At 55.6% G+C, this 24,780-nt stretch overlaps 1 protein-coding gene across 125 annotated transcripts in view, besides 1 other annotated feature; it reads right to left on the minus strand.

The window, feature by feature from the left end:
- CELF4 (CUGBP Elav-like family member 4) overlaps positions 1-24,780 on the minus strand; it is a 322,955-nt gene that overhangs the window by 69,688 nt on the left and 228,487 nt on the right. For 66 of the 125 annotated variants that reach the window (NR_148519.2, NR_148522.2, NR_148518.2 and 63 more), the window contains exon 3: positions 9,302-9,350. Coding sequence is in view for 114 of the 125 variants with exons in the window: in XM_047437652.1 (XP_047293608.1) it covers positions 9,302-9,350 (49 nt within the window). In the remaining 11 variants the exon portion in view is untranslated. Of the gene's footprint in view, positions 1-9,271; positions 9,351-24,780 lie in introns of all 125 variants that reach the window. The other 59 variants (NR_148528.2, NR_148520.2, NR_148526.2 and 56 more) reach the window with 1 other exon arrangement.
- Positions 10,497-11,033: an enhancer, noted in NCBI's record as "H3K4me1 hESC enhancer chr18:34902991-34903527 (GRCh37/hg19 assembly coordinates)". NCBI's record gives its function as "activates a minimal SCP1, AML or CMV promoter by ChIP-STARR-seq in naive H9 embryonic stem cells {active_cell/tissue: H9 hESC(naive)}" and the evidence as "EXISTENCE:reporter gene assay evidence [ECO:0000049][PMID:30033119]".

The following is a 24,780-nucleotide window of genomic DNA, read 5'->3' on the forward strand; positions in this document are numbered from 1 at the left end:
GCACTGGTTGGTGTTCAAGGGAAAACATGCCCACCTATAGCTTGAGAAATTCAGGTAGGGGATAGGGCAGGACAGGCAGGCAAAGCAGGAGCCCAAGGCATGGAGAGGAGACTGAAAGAGGCTGTGGAGTTGTTTTACTTCTTAAAAATGTTTTAAAATGGAAGCTGGGTGAGAGACAGACTCATAGGGTAGGGGTAGGGTAGACACAAGGGCTCCTGCCCACCCCCCAGGCCTAGGAGGTGCTGTGTCCTGGCCAACTGGGCAGATAACTATTCCCCAATCCAAACTCCCCTTGGTTTCCTGTGATGCCTCCCCAGGACCCTTGGCCAAGGACATGGCTGTGGAAGGGCTATGGTGATGAGCTGTGGACGTCCAGGTCTGGAGCAGGGTCTGGAACAAGGATATGTAGCCCCCAAAACACATATACAGGGGCCACAAGTGGAGCCCACACACAGCCCACCTTTCGGAGGCCTCTGTGGGACAGAAAAGTGTGGAAGCAGGTGGGCAGGTGAGGGTGGGGGTCTCCGGCTCTGAGGGGCAGACTCCTTCTCCTTCAGTCACTGGACGCCTTCTCTCTCAGACTGCACCCTCCATGCTGGGGTGGGGTTAGCTCTGCTCATCCCAGGGTCTCCCAGGCAGAGTCCAAACCAACACCAAATCAATGGGTAAGGACATGCTGGACCTGGGAGGAGGCTCTTAGTTTCTTATGGACTCAGCGTAATTTCAGATTAATTTTCAACGTGCTGTGGTCCCAGCCCTCTGGATGTTTCTCTGCAGCCCCTCCTGCCTGGGCCGAGGGCTTCCTCAGCAGAGCTCTGAGAAGTTTCTGTGCACCCAGATGCTTTTGTCCAGTGAGTCACTCGCTGACTCCTAAGATTGGAAAATTGACACTTCTGTATATTGAATTTTTGTAAAGCGGGGCCAGCTTGCACATCCAGTTCATCTGCACACTCGCTAAACTGCCTTCCTAGTGTGGGAGAGAATAGCTAGAAGATTCTGGAAGGGAGAAACCCAGTACCAAAAGTCAGCAGTTGTGGCTAGGGGTCTCCCCAGCCATGCCCCAGAGCCTGTCCCACCGCAGCCACTGGACGCTGCCCCCACCCAGGCCCGCACTCCACAGCTGGTGGGGCCCTTGAAGCCCTTGCAGACAACACATTGTCTGTGTCTGTTTAGAAATAAAATAATGCTCGGAGGAGTAATGAGGAATTTAATAGGATTTTAAAAGCCGCAGGAACCGATAGGGCTACAGATGGTGGAGGGGCCAGGAGGATGCAATCGGCCACGGGTTTATGGTGGGGAACGTGGCCTCAGGGAGGGCCTGGGAGCCCAGTCACTCACATTGTATCCAACCTCATTAGCTGGCCCAGCGGGACTCCGCTGCCACATCAGTGCTGGCATGGTGAGGGGGGATGCCCTGAAGACCCTGTGAAGTATGCTGGGAGCACCTAAAGGCTGCAGGAACGCTGGACACTTGGCCAGCAGCTGTCTCAGGGATGCCTCCCAGGCTGTCACACCTGACCCCAACCCTCTCATGCCTTCCTCACCCTGCCCAGGTACCACCAGAGACAGGCTGAGAGACAGGGACACAGAGACACAAGATGCAGGAGTGCAGGGAGGGAAGAAACACTGGCTTCCGGCCACACGGTGGCTCACGCCTATAATCCCAGCACTTTGGGAATCTGAGGCAGGTGGATCATTTGAGGTTAGGAGTTCAAGACCAGCCTGGCCAACATGGTGAAACTCTGTATCTACTAAAAATACACACACACAAAAATTTGCTGGGCATGGTGGCGGGCACCTGTAATCCCAGCTACTCTGGGGGCTGCGGCAGGAGGATCGCTTAAACCTGGGAGGTGGAGGTTGCAGTGAGCCTAGATAGCACCACTGCGCTCCAGCCTGGGTGACAGAGTGAGACTGTCTCAAAAGAAAGAAAGACAGACAGAAAAAGAAAGAAAGAAAAGGAAAGAAAGATACACGGGCATGGGCTCCCAGGTCCAGATACAGAGGCCAAGGGAGGAAGATGAGCAATTCTGCAGGACTTGGGGAGGGTAGGGGAACATAAAAGATGTTCATTCACCCTCTGAAACGTCCCAGGGGTTCTGCAGATAGCTTACTGCCACCACCCTGCCAGGGCCCCCTTCCTGGCTGGTGCCCCAGGCTGCTCCCCTTTCCGTCCTCCAGCCTCCCCTGCAGCTTGTGGGGGGAACAACAGGACATTCTCACGGCCAGCTCAGCCCTGCCTGCCTTCACCTGCCTACCTTGCTTCTCCTGGGTTCAGTTCTCAGCTGCCTGCTTTGCTGATCTGCCCTGGGCCTGATAGAAGCCCCTGAAGGAAAATAGGCTCCCATTGACCAGGGAGAGACTCGGGAGCCTCTCAGTGGTGGGACCTCCAGCCCGGGCCTCACTTGCCACAGCCAGAAGTGTGTTGTCGGCCGGTGGTTTCATCTGGCAGCTTCTCTATGCAATCGGGCCCGATTCTGCTGTGCAGGTGGCCACCTGTGTGTGTCTGTGTGTCGTGTGCTTTTCAGTTCTGGGTTCCTGGAGAGGGTGGCAGACCCTGGAAGGTGGTTTTCTTTCTTGCTGTGTTCCCTCTGGATGGACTCCCCAGTGCTAGACCCGCTCCCTCCCAAGCCTGTGCCTTGGGAGACAAGAGTTGGGCCTGTTATCCCCAAGGCCCTGCTGAACAGAGCTTCCACTTGGTTCTCATGTGGCCACTGGGTAGAAAGAGACAAAGGGAGCCCACAGGACAGACAGAGACAGAGGCAGACACAGGCCCAGAAACACAGACAAGATGAGCACGGGCAGGTGGCAGCCCCTAGGGAGTCCTCAAGTCCCCTCTTTCCCAGGACTCTCCTCCCAACTCTTCATGGTTTCTAACTTCTCCCCAGCCAGCCACCTTGCTGGCTTTTCTGTCATTTCGTGTTGATGAGATAAAACCTGGTGGTCCCAGTCTGTGCCCCACCCCAGCCAGCATCATCAAAGACCGTCCCCACCTCCTAGCAGTAACCATCACACTGGGGTTTAGCCAAAGTGGGCCTTGTCTGCTCTGTGTCTGGAGGACCCCAGGGTGCTGTCACACAGTTTTCCCATGGAGCACCCCCCAGTGTGCCATGCACTCATGGTCACTGACAGAGGCACTGCAGACACACGCCCAGTTCCGCACATGCACCCAGGGAGGCGGGAAAGAAACGTCCTCCCCAGGGACACAGGGGAGATAGCACGCATCTGCAGTCTGCTATACCTGACCCAGGTATCAGCCACTCGTCCCCTCCTTCAGGGCCCCTGTCTGGCTGCTGATCCTCTTCGGCCCACTAAGCGGGGTGGGCACACACATCCGTTCAGCCCAGGAGCTTTCCAAGCAAGCTGGCTGCCTGAGGCCATGGTAGTCAGAGCCTCTACCCCCTCATCTCTGACTCCCTGAAAGGAGGCCCTACAACCTGGCTGCAGGAGGTACCTTGGTGGGGGAACTGTCCTGTCACCTGGACTGAGACCTGGGAGGAGAGGAAGTGGTCAGGGCTGCAGGGCAGCTTCCTAGGGACACCCATGGAGACTCCATTTAGAAGCTGAGCATGAGCCAGCATGAGCAAGACCCCAGCATGGGGTCTTGGGGTGGGGTGTGTCTGCCTGCCAGGAGGCATAGGACACTGCAGCGCATGCCCTAGGGAGGTATCATCACCTCTGAGGGGGCCAGCTGCCATGTTCAGGGCAGGCAGGGAGGGGCCTGCTCTCCACCTGGCTCTGTCCCCAGCCAGCATCACTGGTTAATGAATTGGTTTGCTTATATTGGGGATAAATCTGAGTTTAAATACAACTTGCTCCAGTGTGCTTTTGGGGATAACTGGATCCCCCATGCAGACAGATGACTCCTGGGGAGGCTCTTCTTTGGCCTTCCTTCCCTACTTAATTGGAACCCCAGATCCTGGTGGTGGTAGCAGGGGCCCTCTCTCTTCTCTTCCTGCCCAGGGACATTCCAGCCCTCTCTCTGTCTGTGATCTCTTGCCCAGGATCAGTGCTCCTGCTTCCAATGGTGACAAGCCCAACCCCTTGGCCTTGTGTTCGAGGCCCCATTTTAACTTTGTGTCCTCACTGTATCCCAGCTCTCCACCTCTTGATCTAATTCCTAATTCCCACCTCCTCCAGGAAGCCCTTCCTGCTTGCTCCAGGCCACAGTGAATTCTCTCTTCTCTGACCCACTCCTACCCTGGTCTTTCATGTCTCATGAGTAGGTCTGGGAGCTCCTTGTCCAGCCTAGCCCTGCCTCCCTCACCTGGAACCCTGCTCCTCTCACTTCAGCCACCTTGAGAATGGGCCTAAAGGTGAGACAAATGTCTGTGGTGTCTTCCCACTGCCTCTAGGCCACCCAGAGTCCGAGAAGCCCTCCTGGGAGTGAGAGGAATATAGGTAATCTGGGTTCTGGTGGCTGACAGGTAGGAGTTGGAATTTTGGTTCTGCCACTTTCTGTCTGTGTGCCCTGGAACAAGTTATCTAGCCTCTCTGTGCCTTGGTTTGTGCCTTTAAGTGGGGCCAAGAACATCCATACCTTGAGGTTGCTGTATAAATTAAACATATTTCCGGCCGGGCGCGGTGGCTTATGCCTATAATCCCAGCACTTTGGGAGGCCAAGGCAGAAGGATCACCTGAGGTCAGGAGTTCAAGACCAGCCTGGCCAACATGGTAAAACCCCATCTCTACTAATAATACAAAAATTAGCTAGGCGTGGTGGCGCACACTTGTAATCCCAGCTACTCCGGAGGCTGAGGCAGGAGAATCACTTGAACCCGGGAGGCGGAGGTTGCAGTGAGCCAAGATCGTGCTATCGCACTCCAGCCTGGGCAACAAAAGCAAAGTTTCATTTCATCTCAAAAACAAAACAAAACCATATTTCCATAAAATCCCTAACACTCAGTCAGTGTTCTGTAAATAACAGCTTTGTGGATAATGACTCCTGAGACCCCCAGGTAAGGAGATGGAGGCCCAGAGAAGGTGGTGTGCCTCAGCTGGAGCTCATTCCGGATAAGAACCTTCCACAAAAACAAGAACTGCATCCTATACTCTTCCTGGACTCTTCCTGGTGCTTGCTCCAGCCAAGCACTCAGCCAGCTCCACTTCCCTCTGTACTTGTATCTCCACTCCAACCCCTCCAGAGGCAAGGCTGGCACTGCCCTCACACCAAAGAAAAAAGAGCTCCCTGAACTGCTCCTGATAGGACAGTGGCCTGTCAGCCTCAGCCAGCAATCCATGTGTGTCAGAGACAGGAGCCCTGAAAGTTACAAAGCCTCTCCTGTGCACACAGACCTGCCAACTCTCCGCCATGCCCATCCCTAGACACCCCCACACCTCATGTGTGTGGGTGGATGTGACCGGGAATGTGTCTAGAGGCCTGAGATGGGGGATGAGAAGGTGGAACCACGATATGGCCATGCAGTGGGCTGCAGCCTGCTCTGTGCTGGGCGAGGTGGAGAGAAGCCTTCCTCCTGCCCCCTGGCCAAAGGCCCCGCATGTTCCCCAAATCCTAAGCAGATAAGACATCTTTCTGTGCTGCTTATGAGCATTCAAGTGTGCCTGGAGGGCAGCTGTGGATGGGTGTCCTGTGTCCTCTGGGTTTCGGGGACTCGTAACCTGGTTCACTGCTGAGCCAGGGCTGGGGCTGACCCTCCCCCTCCTTCTGCGGCCACTGCTGGCTTCTGCTCCCCTCGCACCACTGTGCCCCAGTCTTCCCTCACCCACTGTCTTCAAGGCCTCGCTCCCCCTCCTCCTCCTGCCGCTTATCCCCTCACCTCTCTACTTTTCTCACCTCCTTCCCTTCTCTCCTCTCCTCCTGCCCGCTGCCGTCATGCCACCTCCTCCACCCCTCTCCCATTCCTTCTCTCCATTCCCCTCTCCTGTTGCCTATTTCTTTAATCTTCTAAAATGTTCACTTCTCCCCCCTTCCCCTTCTCCCCAGAAGTATTTAATGGCTATTAAATTATTTTAAACTAACTTTCTTTTAAAAAAAAAACCACACAGCTTGGTGATAGTGCTGACTCAGGGCCATCTCACTGTTTAATATTGAATATGCAATTAATAGAAAGATGTTTAGGTTTGGCTTTCCCTACACCTCCCCCCCCCCCCACTTTCTACTGCAAGAAGAATAAAAGAGCTGAGTAATCTGGTTTGGGGCGAGTGTTAGCCACAGGAGATATATGGGAGAAAGCCGATGAGGTTAGCATCTTGGAGTCAGAGAGCTATTGCCTCTGAGGCAAGTTCAGGGAGAGAAAGGTTTGAGTTAGAGCCCAGCACGGCCTTGCTGGGCAGAGGGGATTCCAGACATCCCTCTCCAGTGCTGGAGAAAATGGCCTGGACTCTGACCTGCCTGCTCCACACCAGATGGCACCTCCTTATGGCCCTCAGAGGCCTGGGTCGGTGGCCCTTGTTCATGCCATCCCCCCTTCTCAAGCTGTGGGATCTCCCACCTTCAAGACCAGAAGGGCCACCTCCCCTGAGGCCTCTGGCTGCCCCCGCCTGGGGGATCTCCTCTCCGGAACTGCTGCTGGCACCTACTATCCCAGCTTTCCTGCCCATCCATGACAGCTTCCGTGTGTCACTGCCTCCTGGCCGGGCCGTGTGAACTGGGGGCTGCAGGTGAGTCACTGTGTGCCTGGGTGACGGTCTCCAGGAGACACCCCTCGCACTGCTGTGGGCCTCATGTGCCCTGGACGAGGCTGAGTGAGGATGGCACTCCTCTCACTGCCAAGGAAGGGACAGGAGCAGGCAGCACAAACCACATGGGCTTCGCTCACGTGGGCCCCTCACGCCTGAAGCATCTCTAACCCTCAACCAACTGGACCTTGACTACCGGGGTCCTTAGGACCAGAGCACTCCATTGGTGTGAGGAGGTGCGTCTATGCCCTGGGGCATGGGATCCCTTCAGGCAGCCCCAAGACACCAGCCCAAGCCCTAGTGGGTAGGATCTGAGGTCCGGGTTGGGAGGGGGCCTGAGTCCTAGAGGCCTTGTGCCTAAGTCAGTGCCCTGCTGGGGCTGGAGGGCAGAGGCCTGACTGAGGGGATGAAGGAGTGTTCTGAGCAGGCACAGGCCCCAAGGATGAACAGATCACCAGCGGCCACACCACAGCACCCTCCAGGACAACTGGCTCTCCAAATTTGCAAGTAGCTTTCACCTGCTCGACATTTTGCCCTTGATTTCCCGGTAAACTTTCTGAGAAATGAGGGGGAGAGAAATTCCTCGGTTCCTGGCTGATCTAAAGAGCAGGGAGAAACCCAGAGCACTGGGCCTGGGCCTGGGCCTGGGCCAGGGGAGGGTGGTGAACAGGGACACTTGGGCCAGAGCCCAGGGTGTGGCAGGGTTGGCAGAAGCCAAGAGCTCCTGGCTGGGAGGTGGAGGGCAGCTGCGACTGGCTGTCCCATCTTACTACCTGGGCCCTCATGCTGGACACCCCAGCCCTGGCGGGGGGAAGGGTAGGCTGGGGCCACCTTGGAGGCTGTACCTAATGTCACCTTCTCAGGGCAACAAAAGGCCCCAACTCCAGCTGGGCGCGGTGGCTCACGCCTGTAATCCCAGCACTTTGGGAGGCCGAGGCGGGCAGATCACAAGGTCCGGAGATTGAGACCATCCTGGCTAACACAGTGAAACCCCATCTCTACTAAAAATACAAAAATTAGCTGGGTGTGGCGGCATGCGCCTGTAGTCCCAGCTGCTGAGGAGGCTGAGGCAGGAGAATGGCGTGAACCCGGGAGGCGGAGCTTGCAGTGAGCCGAGATCACACCACTGCACTCCAGCCTGGGCGACAGAGTGAGACTCCATCTCAAAAAAAAAAAAAAAAAAAAAGGCCCCAACTCCTTACGCTCCCCTTGGTGGCCTCATGGGTGTTCTCAATTTTTCTAAACCCTTTCCGGGCTGCTCCTGTCTCTGGCGGAAGAGCAGCCAAGGTCTCTCCCATAGTGGGAGGAGGCTGGAGGTAGGAAGCCACCGCCCGTCTGTCCTCTGGGAGTGTCTCACTTCTGTATGGCTGTTTGGCTCACTGCCTGGCTGTGCCTCTGTGGGAACTTGGGCTGGGGGCCCTAGATGGTGGAGAGGACAGAGTCTCTACTCGGGGGTCCTTCACCTGCTCGGAGCCTCCGTTTGGCCCCCTTCTCCGGGGAAGTGGCTGAGAGCTCAGTTCAGAGCAACGTCTGGGCAGGGCCCAGAGGGGATGAGGCTCAGTGTGAGTGCCGGGGACTAGTGATCAAGAAGGACAATGCCCTTCTCCCAAGGAGGTGGGCCAGGAAGAGGGCACCTGGCAGGGGCCTGCACATTCTTCTACCCTATGGGGCTGGGGAGTCTGTTTCTCTCCCACAGGTGAGGTGTGATGGGCTCTGTATCACTGGGGCAGTTTGTTGCAGGAGGAGCTGGTGCCCGGGTAGGGGAGGCCTGATCTTGGATGCTGGATGTATTTTCTTTGCCATGTCCTTGCCTTTCATTTTCTTTTAATGTCAGAGTATGTTTGAATCTCATCTAGGGGAGCCTAGGGCCAGGGCTGTGCCTAGGGTGGGCCCTGGTTAACCCTGTGGCTGGGATGGGGGGGGCAGTACAGACACACAGGCACTGTGCCAAGAGGATGCTGTCACTTGGTGACGGAGCTGCCCCTGGCTGGCCGTCTGCCTAACCCTTCCAGCGGTGAGCCTCAAGGTGCTGCATTCCCTTACTCAGGCTCTCCACGGCCAGTCTCCAGTGGGCTCCACATTCTAGGACAAGCGTCTGTGGAGTGAGGCTGTGTCCTTCCCCTCTGTCCCTTTCCAGACACCTGTCTGACTGCCTGCCTCTATCTCCAGGATCTCTGCCTCAGTGCTGGCCTTGAGTGCCCACACTCCCATGGACCACTCAGATTTGCCTCCTTGGCCTGAATCCTCCTACAGCACAGCTGTGACCACTTCTTGTCTCCCTTCTAACTGCACAAGCCCCATCACGGTGGGGTTTTCCTTGTCCACATCGAGGTGGGCACACCCTTTTGGGTGTTTTAATGGAGGGGAGAAGAATATCCTGGGACATGGCACTTGTTTACTCAGAGACGCATAAACCGCACCGTCTGGAAGACCCCAAACACCCCCCTTCCCTCCTGTCTCTCTCCACACCAGTCACCCAGAGCTCCAAAGCTCTGTCCCCAACCCTCAGCCACGAGATCCCCAGAGGGGCAAGAGGAGGAGGCGGGGAGTCGCTGCATCGCCTTGCTGCGTCGGGAAAAGGAGGGAGGAGTGAGAGGGGGAGGGGGAGGGGCAGAGACAAGTGGGCCCTCACGTGAAGGGGGCTGGCGCAGGCAGCTACTACCTCCTCGGCTCTCGCTGTCCGCAGGCTTCACCTGGATCGGCCGGTTCATCTGCAACAGAGCAGAGGGGGACAGCATTATAGCAGGCCTGCGGGTGAGGGGACAGACACCCAGCACTCAGGTGCACAGGTGAATGCGAGTATACAGACTGCACCCACAGACACGCGCTCCCACAACATGCTGCTGCAAGCACACACACCTTCACCAAAGTGCTGCCCGTCTCCCCTCGACGGCACGGCCCCATGGCCCCATTCTTTCAGGGGGGTGTCTCTGGACAGGAGACTTTGAGATGCCTCCTCCTCCTACTCCGAGCAGCAGCTCCTACTAGCCTTTGATATCAGAATCTGAGGTTGACAGAAATGCTGGCCTGTCCCTCTGTGTCACACAGGCCTTTGTGTCACCAAAGCACACCCTTGGCTCAGCCCTGGTTCACTCAAACATCTGCCTTTATGGAAATGAGCTGGTCACTGGCTGCAGATGGACCCCACCCAGGCCAGGGCATCCAGCTTGATCCCAGCCCGTACCAGCTCGCAGAAGTGGCCTATGGGTCAGGCGTGGCCAAGGCTCTGGGCCGTCCAGCTCCATGGTTAAAGCAGAGCTCAGGGCTGGGGCTCCATATTGCAGCCAGGGCTGTTCTCTCAGGGAGTGCGTGGAGTGGGCACAGCTACTTGTCCCCTGTGGTGTCTGGGTGCCAGGAGGACAGGAGAGCAATGCCTGACTCCCCTAGCCGCCGGCCTCTCTCTTCCCTCTCGGGGATCTGTGTCAATGGCCCATTCAGGGCACTAGGGGTCTCTGGACTCCAAGCATCCCGGGCTTGGCTGCCTGGCTTCAGGGCTCACCGGGAGGCACCAGGGTGGGCTCTACAGCCCGGAGGTCTCAGAGTGGTTTAAGCAACAAACGTGAGGAGGATCACGCCAGCGGATTCTGACCTGATGTCTTCACCAGTGCTTCTGCCCTTACGCACCTCCCTGAGCCCTTCTTGCATCTGCATTTCTCTCACAAACTCAGACTCAGAGAGGTAGTGGGGCAGGTACAAACACCCCCATTTTAGAGATGGAGAGGCTGAGGCCAAGAGGCATTCAGGTGCTTCCCAAGGCCACCACGTGGCAGGACATGGCTGGGAAGTGGGGCCTGTGGGGTGATTTCTGCATGTCTGTCCTGCGCTTTGAGACCTTCCGTTGCCAATTCCCTCCCGTACAGCGGCTGGACCAGCCAGTCACAAGCTTCCTCCTACCTTCTGCTCTAGGACTCGAAGTGAGTTTTGGCTGCGTCAGGACAACTGGGTGGGGGAGTATGGGTGCCTGTGACTCAGCAAGGTGAGCACAAGGCCAGTGGAAGGGCAGAGCCGTGGCCGGGAAGGACAGAGATGGGAGGCAGGACGCAGCCGACAAGGAAGGAGGCACAGGTAGCCAGAGGCAGCAGGGGAGGATGCCAGGGCCAGCCCACCGAGAGGGGCGAGGGTGTCATTGTTCACCACCAGGTCCCCACTTGACATCCCTTATGGAGTTGAGGGGAAGCAAGATACTTTGTTCCCAAGCCCTGGCAGCAGAGAACTCTGCCATGTTACAGCAAATTCCAATCACAGGGAGAAGAAGGAGGAACGTAATGAAGTTCCTGGGTTCCCTGTGAACGAGCTCCTTTCCAGTCTTTGAGGGAAAGATCCAGAAGGCCGCCCAGGCATCTGGCTATGGGAGAGGGGCTCCAGGAGGGAGCCAGGTTGCTCCTGGTTCCCTGTCCAGTACTGTTTGGGACTCAGCATCTCACCCTTTCCTAGGCTGCCATGTCCTCCTGGAATGCCCCGCCCTCCTAGCCTTCCCTTCCCTGAAACCTGTAGCATTCTTCTCCCCCAAACAGGTCTTAAGGACTGACCTGGACCCAGTTCCAGCCCTGATGCTCTCTTGGACAGATTTCTACAGCTTTTCTGCTTATGTAATTTTACAATTCTCTGAGGTAGGGATTATTATATCCATCTTTTCAATGAGAAGAACAAAGCTCTGAGGAGCGGCAGAGCTGGGATTCAGCCAGGATGAGTAGGCACATGAGTGCTACCAACACAACGGCCTTTAGCTTTGTCATATTTTATCTCAGTTGACCTCAGCTGCTCCAGGAGGAGAGGACCAAGGAGGAAGTAAGTGGGAAAAGTACCCATTCCATAAAGGGAGATTGAGGCCAGGTTCTTTGGGCCAGCAAATCAAGCATCTTTTCTGCCTGACCCCCACCCCACAAAATCTGGCCCCACCACCTCTTGTACCACTCCCACCACACATCCTGGCACCTTCCTCCCCCAAGTCCATTCCCTGGGCCTTCAAGCTCCCTGCTGTCCCTCCCAGCCTCCTCCTCTTGACAGTCTATTCATTCTTTGAGCCTAGTCCACTTAGCTTCTGTATGGACTGAAGTGTGTCCCGCCAAAATTCATACAGTGAAGCCCTAACCCCCATTGTGACTGTATTTGGAAATGGTACCTTTAAGGAGGTACTTAAGGTTGAATGGAGTTATAAGAGTAGGGCCCTCATCCCATATGATTGATGTCCTCACAAGAAGAGGAAGAGACACCAGGGATGTGCACACAGAGAGAAAACCATAGGAGGACACAGCGAGAAGGCCGCCATCTTCAAGCCAGGAAGAGAGCCCTCACCAGAAACCAATCCTGCCCACACCTTGATCTTGGGCTTCCAGCCTCCGGAGCTGTGAGAAATACATTTCCGTTGTTTAAGCCACCTGGTCTGTGGTACTTTGCTATGACAGCTCTAGCCAACGAATAAGCCCCCTAGTTCATGAAGCCTGGTTGGTACCCCATTGGGAAGGGTACTACAAGGAGCTCCCTGTTTTCCATTAAAAAGGTACACTCAAGGCTGGAAATTGACTTGCAAGTGGAGGTGGTGCTTAAGTGACCCAGGCCTCCCCAAGGATCCATAACACCCCTGAGAACAGGAACAGCTGCTATACTGATCGCATTGCTAGATCATCACAACTTCTCCTGTGATGTATGCAAATAGATTATCTCTAACTTCAGTCAAGGAAATGGAGTCTCAGATAGGTTAAGAAGTTAGCCTGAGGTCACAAAGGTTGTAAATGGTGATATCAAGATGAACCCAGGACTCCTGACATCTGCCTACTCATTTAAGAGATGCTGGGAACAGGTGGAATGGGCTTGGGATGGTCCAGGAAAGTTCCAAGCAGAGGCCAGGAGTGTGGGGGAAAGAGAGGAGAGCAGGGAGCCAGATGGGGAATTCAGGCTTCCCCTGCAAGGCTGGGAGGAAGGCCTGGCTGAGAAGGGGCAGGCACAGGGGTGTGAACCAGAATCTGTTGGGCTTTGTCGCTCTGTCCCAACGGGGGAGTGAGGCCATTCCTGAGGCAGGAGACTCCATTCCTAGGGCCAGAGCATGCTAGGCAGACCCCACATCCCTAGGGGCCTCATCCTGTGTGGGAGGAAGGCTGGGACCACTGGAGGAGACTCCTTTCCTGGCACCTTGTTTCTGTGTTTTACAGCCAGTCTTCTCTAGTCGGGCCTGAGAGCAGCTGGGGTGAGTCCTGCGGATTCGCCTGGCCAGGATAGAGCTATTTCTGAAATGACGGGTCCCATTTTCCATGGTAAATTAAACTGGGCAAATGAAATCTCCCTGTGTCTGGAGGCTTCCACCCTAGATGCCACCCCAGTTGCAGGCAGCCAGCCCACTGTCCTTGGCATCTGGGCACCTGTGATGCTTTGGCCTAACATCCCTGCTGCAGGAGCCCTCCCAACCAGACGGGCCCTGGATGGTGCAGGCAGACCTCCTCCATGGCGTGCTGTTGGGCTCACCCCTCACACACAGGCCCCTCTGCTTCCCTCCAGTTTTACTGTGGGCTTTCTGACAGCAGGGACATGGAGTCTCATCCAGCCTCCCAGCTGCCTTCAGCCATGGGCTAGGCACCTATGGGGTGCTCTAAACAGATTGGTAAAGGAGAACGGAATTGGTTCCCATGCAGCCATGGCTCCTGGGGTCATTTTCCATGTGCCATTATAATCTGATGGTGGTCAGCATCCAGACAGCCTTTGAGGGGCTTGTCAGAGAGGTGCCGGGCTAGATGGTGAGATAATATACGGCCCTGTGCTTTCTTAATTCTCAGCAGAAATAAAGTGTCAGTCTTGGTCGGGAAGATTTCTCAGCTGGAGCAGGCTCTGTACAGGTGGCCCTGGCCTGAAGAGAAACCTTCCTCCCTCCCCTGGTCCTTGGCCAGCCTCACTCAGCCCTGACTCTGCCCTGAAGAGGGAGGAGGATGGAGCACATCTGTCCTGGGAGAGGAGGCCGGGCCAGGCTGCAGAGATCGGGAGAGAACAAGGCAGAGCATGACGACAGAGCGAGGGGAGAGGTGAAGAGAATGCCGGAGAGGGCGAGGGCAAGGGAGAGCAGAGGGGTCAGGGGAAGAGCCAGGAGAGGAGGGAAGAGCCAGGAGTGAGATCAGGAGGAAGACCAGAAGGCCAGTTGCCATCTCCTTGCCCTTCTTGTAACTTTGCCCCCTGGGACCCTGGCCATGGCCTCAGGACCCCTTTGGTGCTTTTCCTGCCCCCGTCTCTGCTCCTCTGTCAGCTACTCCTCTCCACCAGTGCGCTGTCCTCCCCGGAGGGCCCTGTGGCTTGTGGCTGCTGGGAATCTGGGCTGGGGTGCAGGAGCCTTCCTTGCTGATTCTCTTTCAGAGATGTCCTCAGTGTCCCCATGGAGGCCCTGTGGCCTTCAGTTGGTGTCTTCCTCCAGGTGCCTGAAGGGGATTTGGTGAGCCAGGCCTGCCTTCCCTGGGTCAGGAACAGCTACCTGCAGCTTCCCTGGAGGCTCCTGGGGTCAGTCCTCCGGGGACATCACAAACCCTTGTGGACTGTGTTTCTACTTCCAGCCGGGCGCCCCTCTTAGGGAGCGAGTGGGCCTGGCCCAGATCTGGAGCTGTCTCTGCTCCCACCTGCGGCAGGGGGTGGGCAGGTGGATGGCCCCTTTCCTCTTCCGCTCAGGCTCTGCCTCCCTTCCCCCTCCCCATCCCTCTGCCACTTTTTGCATCAACACATATCCATGCATTAAACAAGACATTCCATTAATTTCTTCATCATCATAACTTAAGCTGGGACATACCCTTTAAATATTCATTCAGCTATGAAAACTGGGCATTAAAATTTTAATAATGTCAAGCTCATTTGAACCAGCCTCCTTGGGGACGATTATGATACAATTAGAATAAATACGATGATTGAGCTGGTCGAAAGGCTTCACCTGTCCAGTGTGGCTCCCTCTGGAAGGGGAGGCCTGTGGCTTGTGGGCAGACAGACAGAAAGACAGGCCAAGCTGCTCTTTCCTGACTCCCTCCCAACCTCGCCGCTTCCCCTGCCTCCTCTTGCATCTGGTTCTGGTTCTGTGCTGCCAAGTCTACTCCCACCAGCCTCTGCAGGTCTCTGCTGCCTCCTTTCCCGAGGACCAGGGTGCAAGGGGCCCCTCCCTGTCTGAGAAGGTGGCTCTGATTCACCCCACCAGTTCCTACTACTCCTTTCCTGGTCCTGGTATGACCTGGGCTAGCTCACTGGGCTGGTGAGCGACATTTTCCTGCCTATACACGTCTCTTCTCCCCTACCTTACTAGGACTCCCCGAGGCTGGAATGAGCACCCTGCCAGAGCAGGGCCAGCCTGTGTGTGGGGTGTGGAGCCCAACTGCATTCTGCCACCAAAGGAGGGGAATGTCTTCACCTGGCTTCCCCTTCAGCAGCAACCACTGTCCTAAGGGTTGGCCTGGAGGTTTGGGATGGGGCTGAGCCTCCCTTGTCCTTCACTGCCTGATGCCTGCTTAAAGCCAAAGCTGAAAAAGCCAGGGGGGAGCGGGGAGGCAAGGGGGGGTCCACTCCTGCACTCATCCTGCCTCACTCTCCCTCGGGACAGCTGTCACTGCCCATGGGATCATGGGCCCTCCTCAGAGCTGGCCTCTTGTCCACCTCTGTGCCCTCTGCTTCACGCTGGGCCCCAGCAGGGCCCCCTCACCCAGTGCTGTCTCTGAAATAATGGAGTTGACTTTCTCCCCACCTGGAAAGCTTCCCTGTCACTCCTCATTGCACCCAAACCCTCCTATTCCCCCAAAGTCTAGGTTTGAAGCTCACCTCCTACAGGGAGGCTTCCTGATTGTCACACATGAACCTGCACTACTCCTTTCTCTCTCTCATGCGTGTGTGCATGTGTGTGACAGAGAGAAAGAGAGAGGGAGGGAGAGAGAGAAAAGAAGATGGAGATGGAGAGAGACTTACTTCACAAACAAGAGTGGAGATCAGGGCCCCTACTCATGGATCCCCAGAGGCAGCCTCAGGACTGTGCTTCTTCCCTGGAGTACGTGTGTGCAACTGATTAGTGCTATGTGACATCACAGACATCCTAAAAGAATTCACTGTGGCAGAAGCAGGGGGATTCGCATTGAACGAGATCATGAAAGAAATCTGCAAGAGCAGGTTCTCAGCAAAGGTCAGCCTGCACTGGAAGGTGGGGACTGATGCCCCGCAGGGAGCTGGGGAGAGGGAGGATAGGCGCTGGCAGCCGAGGTGACTGGCCCATGGGATGGCCAGAATGCTCTCCAGAGTGACTATTCAAACCTCAGAGCTGAGGGTCCTTCTGGTTCCTTTTGGGACGTGTTGGAGCCTGAAGATACCTGGCTCCCTGCTCAGCAGAAGGGCTCACCTCGCCAAGCTTTGGAGGAATACCCCTGGAGACACAGATTCATATCTTCCCCAAACAGACATAATTTGCAGCCTTCACCAGGAAGGCAGCTCTTACCTCCCCATTCCTGTGTGGTTTCTGAGGAGGGGCAGTCCTTGCCCACCTACTTGTGGACGCGCTTGTGTGGACTTGGCCCTGCTCGTCATCTATCCTGGTGCTTTAGGACAACACCAGTTCCTATCCACCCAGATAACTCAGGTTTTATGCTCTGCCCTCCAACCCCACCCCAGCACACACGATGGTCATGGAAACAGTGAATCAGCAGACCCGCACGCTAGAGCTCACTGTGCCCTAATCCCACCAGCATCACTGCTCTGAGAAAACAGACATAATTTGCAGGACCCCTTGTTCCAAGCGCCAAAATAAAAAGTGTCATTAAAGTACTAAAATATAAAGCCTTTCCTTCTTGGTCTTGCTCACTCTCTCAATTTGTCGTGGTATTTTTTTTATTTGCTATTTGATGTCATTTCAAGTAAAGAAAACTATAAATTTTAAATTATTAGCACAGACTTTACAGTTCATCTTTATTTTGTGCAATGCCAGTTTTAAATGCAAATATCAGGGCATTTACCTCCTATGCAGAGTCATCAAAATTTCACAGTTTGTATTTTGTGGCTTATGCCTGGAGGGTGCCTTCAGCTGGAAACGCAAGCCAAACTCAGGAAGCCTACAAGAGAGGTCCCCCAGGCAGGAGAAGTTTCCAAGGGATTTCTGCCTCAGACACAGGGGCCCTCACAGGCCCCTGGAGTCCCACCTGCAACCTTGGGCCTGAGGACTGCCGGGGTCCCTTCTCATTGGCCATGGACTGATGTGTCAAGCCCCAGCTGAGGGTAGGCTCTGAGAAGTCGAGCCAGACATCACCTCTTCCCATGGGCTCTCAGTCCTAACCCACAGTGGACAGGAAACTTTCAAGGGTATTGTAAACTCTGTGCCTGGGACGTGCTAGGTATCTATGCAATAGACTCATCTTTGCTGAGTCATGGCCTCTTTTGGCTGGCCAGATGTGGCACAGCACGGCCAGCCTGGGCTACCACAGGGTGAACGTGACCAACCCTGATCCCCTTAACCTGTGTCTAGGCCACTGCTGGCTGGTACAGCAATGATTGCAGGTGGGACTCTGGACATGGGTGGACCTGGCAGGTAGAGAGAGGCTGAACTATGCATGAGCAGAGACTCCAAGCCCCATGGACTTCATTTGCAAAGCACACATTCAAAGATAAAGTGTTAAGAATTTCAAGATGGAGACTGCAGAGCACGAAACCCAAGAGTAGGACTCTTCTGAGTGTGGGGCCCTGTGTGGCCACATGGGGTGGCCTGCCCATGACGCTGACCTGGGGGTGCCTTTCTGGGTCCCCATCTTCATCTGCCCCACCAGACATCAGGCGTTTTGTGGATCATCAGGTGTTTTAAGCATTGCCCAGGTCTGTGCATTAGTGCTATCTCCAGAAAGATCATCAGTCCATTTTTTAAAGATAAGCTTTGTGCAATTTTGAGGGGATAGACCAAGAATTTTCAGCCATAGGGATAAAAGCCTGGTGATGCAACCAACTCGATAAGGACAGAGAACTCACCAGTGAGCTTGTGGGGATCAAAGGTGGGTTTACTCTCCAGAGACCCCGCCCTCCACCAGAAATTTGTCTTCCCGGCGCTTAGCAAATTGTAATTAACAAATTAATTAATGATGAAATTATTTGTTTAAAGCCCCAGGAGGACAGGGTCTGAATCACAGGCCCTGTTGAATTCCAGGGGCTGTGCTTAGTAGTCTTGGAGTCGCTGTGGGAGGAAAGAATGAACCCTTGCCTGAGGGCTTCTGCAGTGCCCTAGTGAGACTGGATCCCAGGGGAACCGCAGAAGCGGCACACATTATTTCTAGCTTGTTGTAAATATATTAATGCTTTAATTACCTCCTTAATAAATCGCATATGGTGCGTTCCATAGAGAGGGGTTAGAGATTCAAGAAATCTCATCTGTTGTCAGCATAAAATTCTGACTCCAGGACACCCTCAGCAGTGATTTCAGAGACACCTGACAGATATATGGATTTGTTTGTCTGTTTGTCTCCACCCTGAGGAGTTCCCGATGCCCACGCAGGGCCCAGCATGGCCCCAATGCACAGTAGGTGGTCAGGAGGTACTGACCAAATGATGACTGAATCCTCCATCACACCCTGTCATGACCCTCGTTCCCTCCTGCCTCATCTGTGCCCTTGCAGCAAGAGTGCCCAGAGGCCAGAATTGGGTCACCACCGGACAGTCTTGTTTCCAGCCCAGAGAGAAAGGCCCTTTAATCCTCCCTCCTCCAGCAAAGTGGCGCGTTGCACCTTTGGATTAGGAAGGGTTTATTGAAGTGGTGGCGATCATCATTTAGAGAGACAGCCAGTGAGCACCGACCAGACAGAAGAACCGGAGGTTATTGTTAAAATATGCAAATCCAGAGCCTATTAAAATGCAAACCCTCCAGATAAGATTTTTTAATAAATTTGGTCTCTGCTCCCACTCCCCACTCTGAGGAGGCCATCTGATGCTTGTTGGGTCAGGACACATACCGGCACGTAGGCCCTGTCAGCTCTTCACCCCTCTCCATTCAGACTTCCAGCGCTGCGCTGCCTGGGCGGGGCTGGCTGTCCCTTCTTCCCCCAACGCCCTGTCCCTTGAACAAAGCACTTGAGGTTGTGTCAGGGTAATCTGCAGACATGTCTCACCATCTCCCCATACTGGCTGCATTCCATTTTTCACCTCTCCTCTCATAGCTGTGTCTGCAATTGAAGTCACAAGCCTTTGCCTCCTCCTCCAGCAAGCCTTCTGTGATTGGGTCCACCCAGTTACACTCACCGCCTTTCCAGTCATCGCCTCTGGACTCACTTTCTGTCAAAAGTAGCCCTCAAGGGGATGAGGGGAAGGTCGCTGAGAAGCTGCACAGGCTCCGAGTATGATAATGATATGGCGGGGATTCAGGCTGGACTTGGACATGCTGGCTTTGAGTCAGGGTGGAAGGAACCAGGCGTGTGGGTTGGTGCTGTGTGCCTGGCTGGGGGTGTGCACTCGGGTCTCAGAGGCATGAGCGAACTGCAGTGAGAGAGGGTTTTCAAGTCCTTCCCATGCTCCAGACCTTCTGTTGACCTCATGACAGGGCTCACATCCTTCAGTCCTTCCTGAAACCTGATGAATCAGGTGAGCAAATTCATGGGGTGGGCAGGGTGTGGATGGGGTGGGGGTGGGAATAACCACCAAAGACCTGGAGGAGAGTGGAGGGAAGGGCCAGTGGGGTGTGAAAGGGTGTGCGGCAAGTCGCCGAGGGTGGGAGGACAGGCAGGCAGGTGGAGGTGGGGAGGATCTGGTGTGGCCGCAGAGGATCTGGTGTGGCCATGGAGGGCCTGAGCTTGTAGAGTGGGCAGCGGGAGCCCCTGTTAGTTTGCAGACAGCATTGCACACTAGGACTGCATTTGGAAAGAGCAAGGAGGCAGCTGCACGTGCAGGAGGTGCAGGAAGTCAGAGGTGACTGGACAGAGGTGCCCAAGACACCAAGCAAACGTTTGTTCAGTTCCAGAATGACCAGCAGAACCTTGGCACCAGGTGCCTTCCCCACCTGTGGGAAGACAGGAGCCTAAAGCTTGTACATAGGAGGTGCTTGATGAATTGGCCCAAATTTCCCCAGGTTGCCTTTTATTCTTGGTTGTAGAATGACCCCTCACTCCAGTCCAAGCCTAGCCTTGTCCACCGTCCACTTGCAAAGAGTCTGCAGGATGTGGGGTGGGACGCAGTGGTCTCGGTCCAGGTGGCACCCTTTGCAGCCCACGTAGCCTCACTGGTCCAGCCCCCTACAAATATGCCCGGGCAGTTGCTATGCAACAGGCAGCTCTGCTCAGCAGTGTCCAGAAAGAAGCAGTGAGCGGCCCTGACATAGCCTGCTGGTGGGCTGGCGGGGGCTGCCTGCTCCTCCTTCTCTCTGCTCTCCCCACTCTCTCCCATCCCTCTCCGAGCCTCCACCCTCTCCTATCTCTCTACAAAATGCCTTCCCCTCACCTAAGGGGCAGGGCTGGGTTGGCACAAACAAAAGAGGTGCCCCTCACAGTGGTCAAAGATCCCTCCAGAGGCCCAGCCTCAAGCACACTGCTGGTTTCCCAGGGGGAAGGAGGGAGCCCCTCCCTGCTAGGGGTTTGGAGCCATATTTATGGGTAGAAGCTTCCAGCGCGTGGCAGGTAAGGTGGAAGGACACGATGAAAATCACCAAGATGGAACTGGTGGACCCGTGACCATGCTGCTGCTGGGCTGACGTGCCCCCACCTCTCAGCCAGAGCTCCCTGAGGCCCTCACTGCCAAGGGCAGAGGGCTCTTTGTCTCCAAGCCCCACGTCCATCTTGCTGCTCCTGTGAACACGCCAGGGCTGCACTGGCAAGGGTGGGAGGATCCTTGTGGTCTTAATTAAGATCTGCTGCCGTGGCAACCAAGCTAATTAGCCGGCATGGTCGGCTGGGTCGCTAACCCTCTTCAGGGTGGGGGAGTGAGGGTGTGCAATTTTTTAAATAACAGTAGTGGATAGATAATTCTGATGAAACAGGCCCTGATTTAGTTGTGAGGCCTGGATTTCGGTCTTAGCTCTGCCATATACTTGCTCATACAAGGCGGGGCTGTTAACTTAACCTCTGAGAGGCATATCCACGTATCCCCTCATGGGGTGTGGAGGGGATTAAACATGATCGCTCAGGCCAAGCTCTGAACATCGTGCCTGGCACCTAGTAAGAGCCCAGGAAACAAGCGACAGCTACCCTCTCCCTCCTCCCCCTCCACTCCCTCCTCTCCCCCCTCTCCCTCTTCCCCCTCCTCTCCCTTCTTCCCCTCTTTCCCCTCTTCCTATTTCTCCTCCTCCTCTCACATCTTCCCTGCCTTTCTTAGTATTTCCATCACTTTTGAGGAATACCTAACATTTGACTTTTCCCTTTCCACTCCGGAATACCCAGGCTCTTTTGGACTCTGCTGAACTGAAGATGTTGGACTCTGTGGGGAAGAGCTGAGAATGGGGTAGGGAGGCCACGCCTCATGGAGAGGCAAGATGCACCCTGAACTCAGGTTCTCATGGCTCCATTCTGCCCGTGCTGCCTCTCCTCCACCCTGCCCCAGCTCTGCCCTCTCTGCTTGGTCTACCAGCACTGAAGCTGTTGTTGTGATGGGCCACAAACTCCATCCATCCATCCATCCATCCATCCATCCATCCGTGCATCCATCCATCCCTCCATCCATGCATCCATCCATCCATCCATCCATCCATGCATCCATCCATCCATCCAGTGTTTACTGAGCACCTCTGTGTGCCAGGCCCTGTTCTATAGAATTGGATGGCACAGCAACATGAGTGTCTCTTCCCTGAGGGAGCCACCACCCAGTCTCCAGAAGGGCCTTGCTGGGAGGGCACCGGGTCCATCCTTCCTGGGAGCTGGCTGTGCACTGTTGCTTGATTCCCTGAATGCCCAGCCATGCAGTCCTGCACTTGGCCTCCCACTCTCCTGAAAGTGCGTTCTTTACCTCTGATGTGTGGCTCTTGGGTATTTGCTCACATACGTATAGTGTTGGAGTTAGGCTCCCTCCTGCATGGGGCGTCGTAATCCAGGATGGCCAGTTCTAGTGATTAGAAAGGAGGCATTTCTAGCCCCAACTCATCTCCCATGCATTTTCCCTCATCCACTCTGCCTGGTACCAGCGCCCCACTGGGCAACTCAAGCCCATCTTCCAGAGGCTGCCCCCAGTGCTGGGCCACTATGTAGCCCTGAGGTTTCAGTGTCTTTCTTCTAAACTCCCAGGCCTCCCTTCACCACTGGGTTTCTGGGCCTGTCACCCTGACAGCTCACAACCATCTAGGAGCCCTCGGATGTGGGGTCCTGGGCCTGGCGAGGGGATCTCTCCAGCTGTGACTGGCCCTTCCCAGCCCACAGTGGGACCACTGCCTTAGGAGATTTAGAGCACACTGGCTGGGTGGGAGTGAGAAGGGGGTGGCATTGTGGCCACCGGCGGCTGGACGGAGACCCTTGTCTGTGTTATCCAGGGCCCAGTCTCCCTTCCCCCTCCAAGCCCTCCCCTGTGTAACTGTTCCCTCCACTCCCCCCGGACTGTGGACTCTGTTTCTAAGCTGAGCCTCTCCACGGCCAGGAGAGGTGTCCTGGTTCCACCCTCACCCTGCCCTGACCCGGGGGGGACAGCTCCTTTCTCTCTCCTGTGGCTCCCGGGCCTCAATCTTAGGCCTGGAGAGAGCAGGAAAGAGTCCCCAGGCATGTTAAAAGAAAAAACAAAGCCCACACCAAGTAAATGACAAATCGAGAGGAAATTGCTCTTAATCCCTACGCCACAGCCTGATGATGCCGGCCAAGCACAAACCTGAGTCATCCTAGAAATGGCACCGACATTTGCTTTTTAGAATTTGTTTTGTCTCTGGGCTTTAGATTTAATCACTCCCTCGCTCCCTCCCTCCCTCCCTCCCTCTGCTCCCCCCTCTCTCCCTCTGCCCCTTGCTCTCCCGTTTTCTAACATGAGCCTGCACCGCCAGCTCGTCCAAGTCTCTTTTCCTGGCCTTAATTAACACAGCTCTCCAGCTTCCAACAGGCTAATGACGAATCGGGTTAAATTCCAGACAACAGCCGCGCACCGCCATCAATTAGCCATCTCCAGGGCAGCTTCATTAATAAGCATCGATCACGGCCCTCCTCCTGAAACACGCCAGGGTCTCCAGGTCACGGGCACTGCCTGCAAGGGTGTCAGGCTCAGGTGTGGGTGTGAATGTGTGTGCGTGAGGGCTGGAGTGTATGGTGAGGGGTCTGCACGTGAGTATGTGTGCAAGGATGTGGGTGGGCCATGTAAATGGGTGACTAGGAGTGTGGGAGGTGTGTGTTGCATGTGCAAATGCATGTGTGTGCATGTCCATGTGTGAGTATGCATGTCAGTGCATGCAGTGTGTGTGTGTGTGTGTGTGTGTGTGTGTGGAGGTGTGGGGGTGAATGGGTGTAGGTATGGTGTGTGATGTGCGTGCTGTGTAAGTGTGGGAGTGTGGTCAGGCGTGGCCCCCTGCTGGCCTCCACTGTACCCTCTCTAGCTCTCCTCTGAATTCCCTGTCCTCCCTGGCCTGTGTCTGGGCAGGTGGCTCAGGTCCTCCTCGACCCCTGAACATCAGGGTTTTCACAGGTGCACTGCCCCTAAACCTGCCCCACTCTCCTACCCCTTAGAGACTCTGCCTGTGGCTCTCTTCAACCTTCACTCCCTTGGAGGTAATTCCAAAATCTCCACCGCCATCCTCTCCCTTTTCCTCAATACATGCTGAATGACTGGTCATTCTCCCTGGCATGGCCTCCAGCCCAAGGCCTGACACCCGCAGCCTGCTGTGGCAGGAACATCACCGCCACTGCCCAGGGGCCCAACTCCCTCCCTCCAATACCTTCTGCTCCCCTAGCTTGGACTCCAACTCTATTCCAGCCATTCATACTCTCAGTCTTGATGGTCCTGCATTCAGCCTCCTGTGACATTCTTCGCAGCGCACTTCTGAGCCCTGAGGAGCAGCCCCCACCTCCCCAGATCATAGCTCATCTCCTCAGTCTGCTGGCCACATGCCCCACAGCCAGCCCCAGGAGCCTCGCTCAGGGAGGGCTCACAGCCAGAATGCGCCCCTCACGGCTGTGGTGGCTGCCAGTCTCCTCCTCTCTCCTTTTCTCTATCCTGTGTAGGGCCTCACTCTGTCACGCAGGCTGGAGTGCAGTGGGCTCAGGCTCCTGCCTCAGCCTCCCAAGTAGCTGGGGCTATAGGCATGTACCTCCACGCCCAGCTAATTTTTAAAATAATTATTTGTAGAGAAGGGGTCTCTGTTGCCCAGGCTGGTCTTGAACTCCTGGGCTCAAGCAATCCTCCCACCTTGGCCTCCCAAAGCTGAGATCACATGCATGAGCCACCCCATGTGGCCTATCCTGTGTAGTTCTTAGCATGGCCTCCCCTCCACAAGCCCAGGCCCCCAGGACACCTCAGTGGGAATTTGTCCACCTGCCATTTCCAAAAGCCTGCTATGAGGGAGTGGCTGGGGTCACCCTCAGACTCATATGTGTGACAGTGTGCCCAGAGAGCCCACAGGCCCTGGCACACGTGCATGCCAGCAGGGATGGGATGTGGCCTCCTGAGGCGGCCACCAGCAGATCATCTCCTTAAAGGTTAATTAAGAACCTGAAGCTGGCCAGCGTGCGTGGCCGATGACGGTGGATGCGGCGTCTCTCCAGGCCATTAAACACTAATTAGGTTTAGAAAGTCTATCGAGCTCCTGAGGTCTCGTCAAGGCAGGCGCTGGCCCTGGGGTGCCCTTTGAAATGCCAGTGCTGTCACCCCAACCCCCGGCGGGGCTGCCGGGCTGGCCCCATGACCCGGACCCGAGGCTTCGGCTGCGTCCCACTTCATTTCTTTCCATTTCATTGTCCCTCCTGGGCCCTGGCCGCCTCCGGCTGTGCTCCACTCACCATGCCTGGCGCTCACAGGCCTGGTGGTCTGCCTGTCGACCCTTCCATGCTACATCCTTTCTGCTCGGGCAGCATCTCCTGTCTCTGCTTCCTCCTCAGTGGCTCAGAGACACTGGTCAGAAACAGGCCTGCGGTGGCCCTGGGGTCTGGTGAGCAGGACAGGAAGCTAACGGTGTGGGCCCAACTGGCCTGGGCTCCAGTGTCCCACAAGCGGAGGGAGAGGAGGATGTGGTGGGGAGACTGGCGAGACCCACTGCCTCCCATGGTGAGCCTCACACCCTCCCCTTGA

Source organism: Homo sapiens, chromosome 18, assembly GCF_000001405.40.
Source record: "Homo sapiens chromosome 18, GRCh38.p14 Primary Assembly".
Classification (NCBI taxonomy): Eukaryota; Metazoa; Chordata; class Mammalia; order Primates; family Hominidae; genus Homo; species Homo sapiens.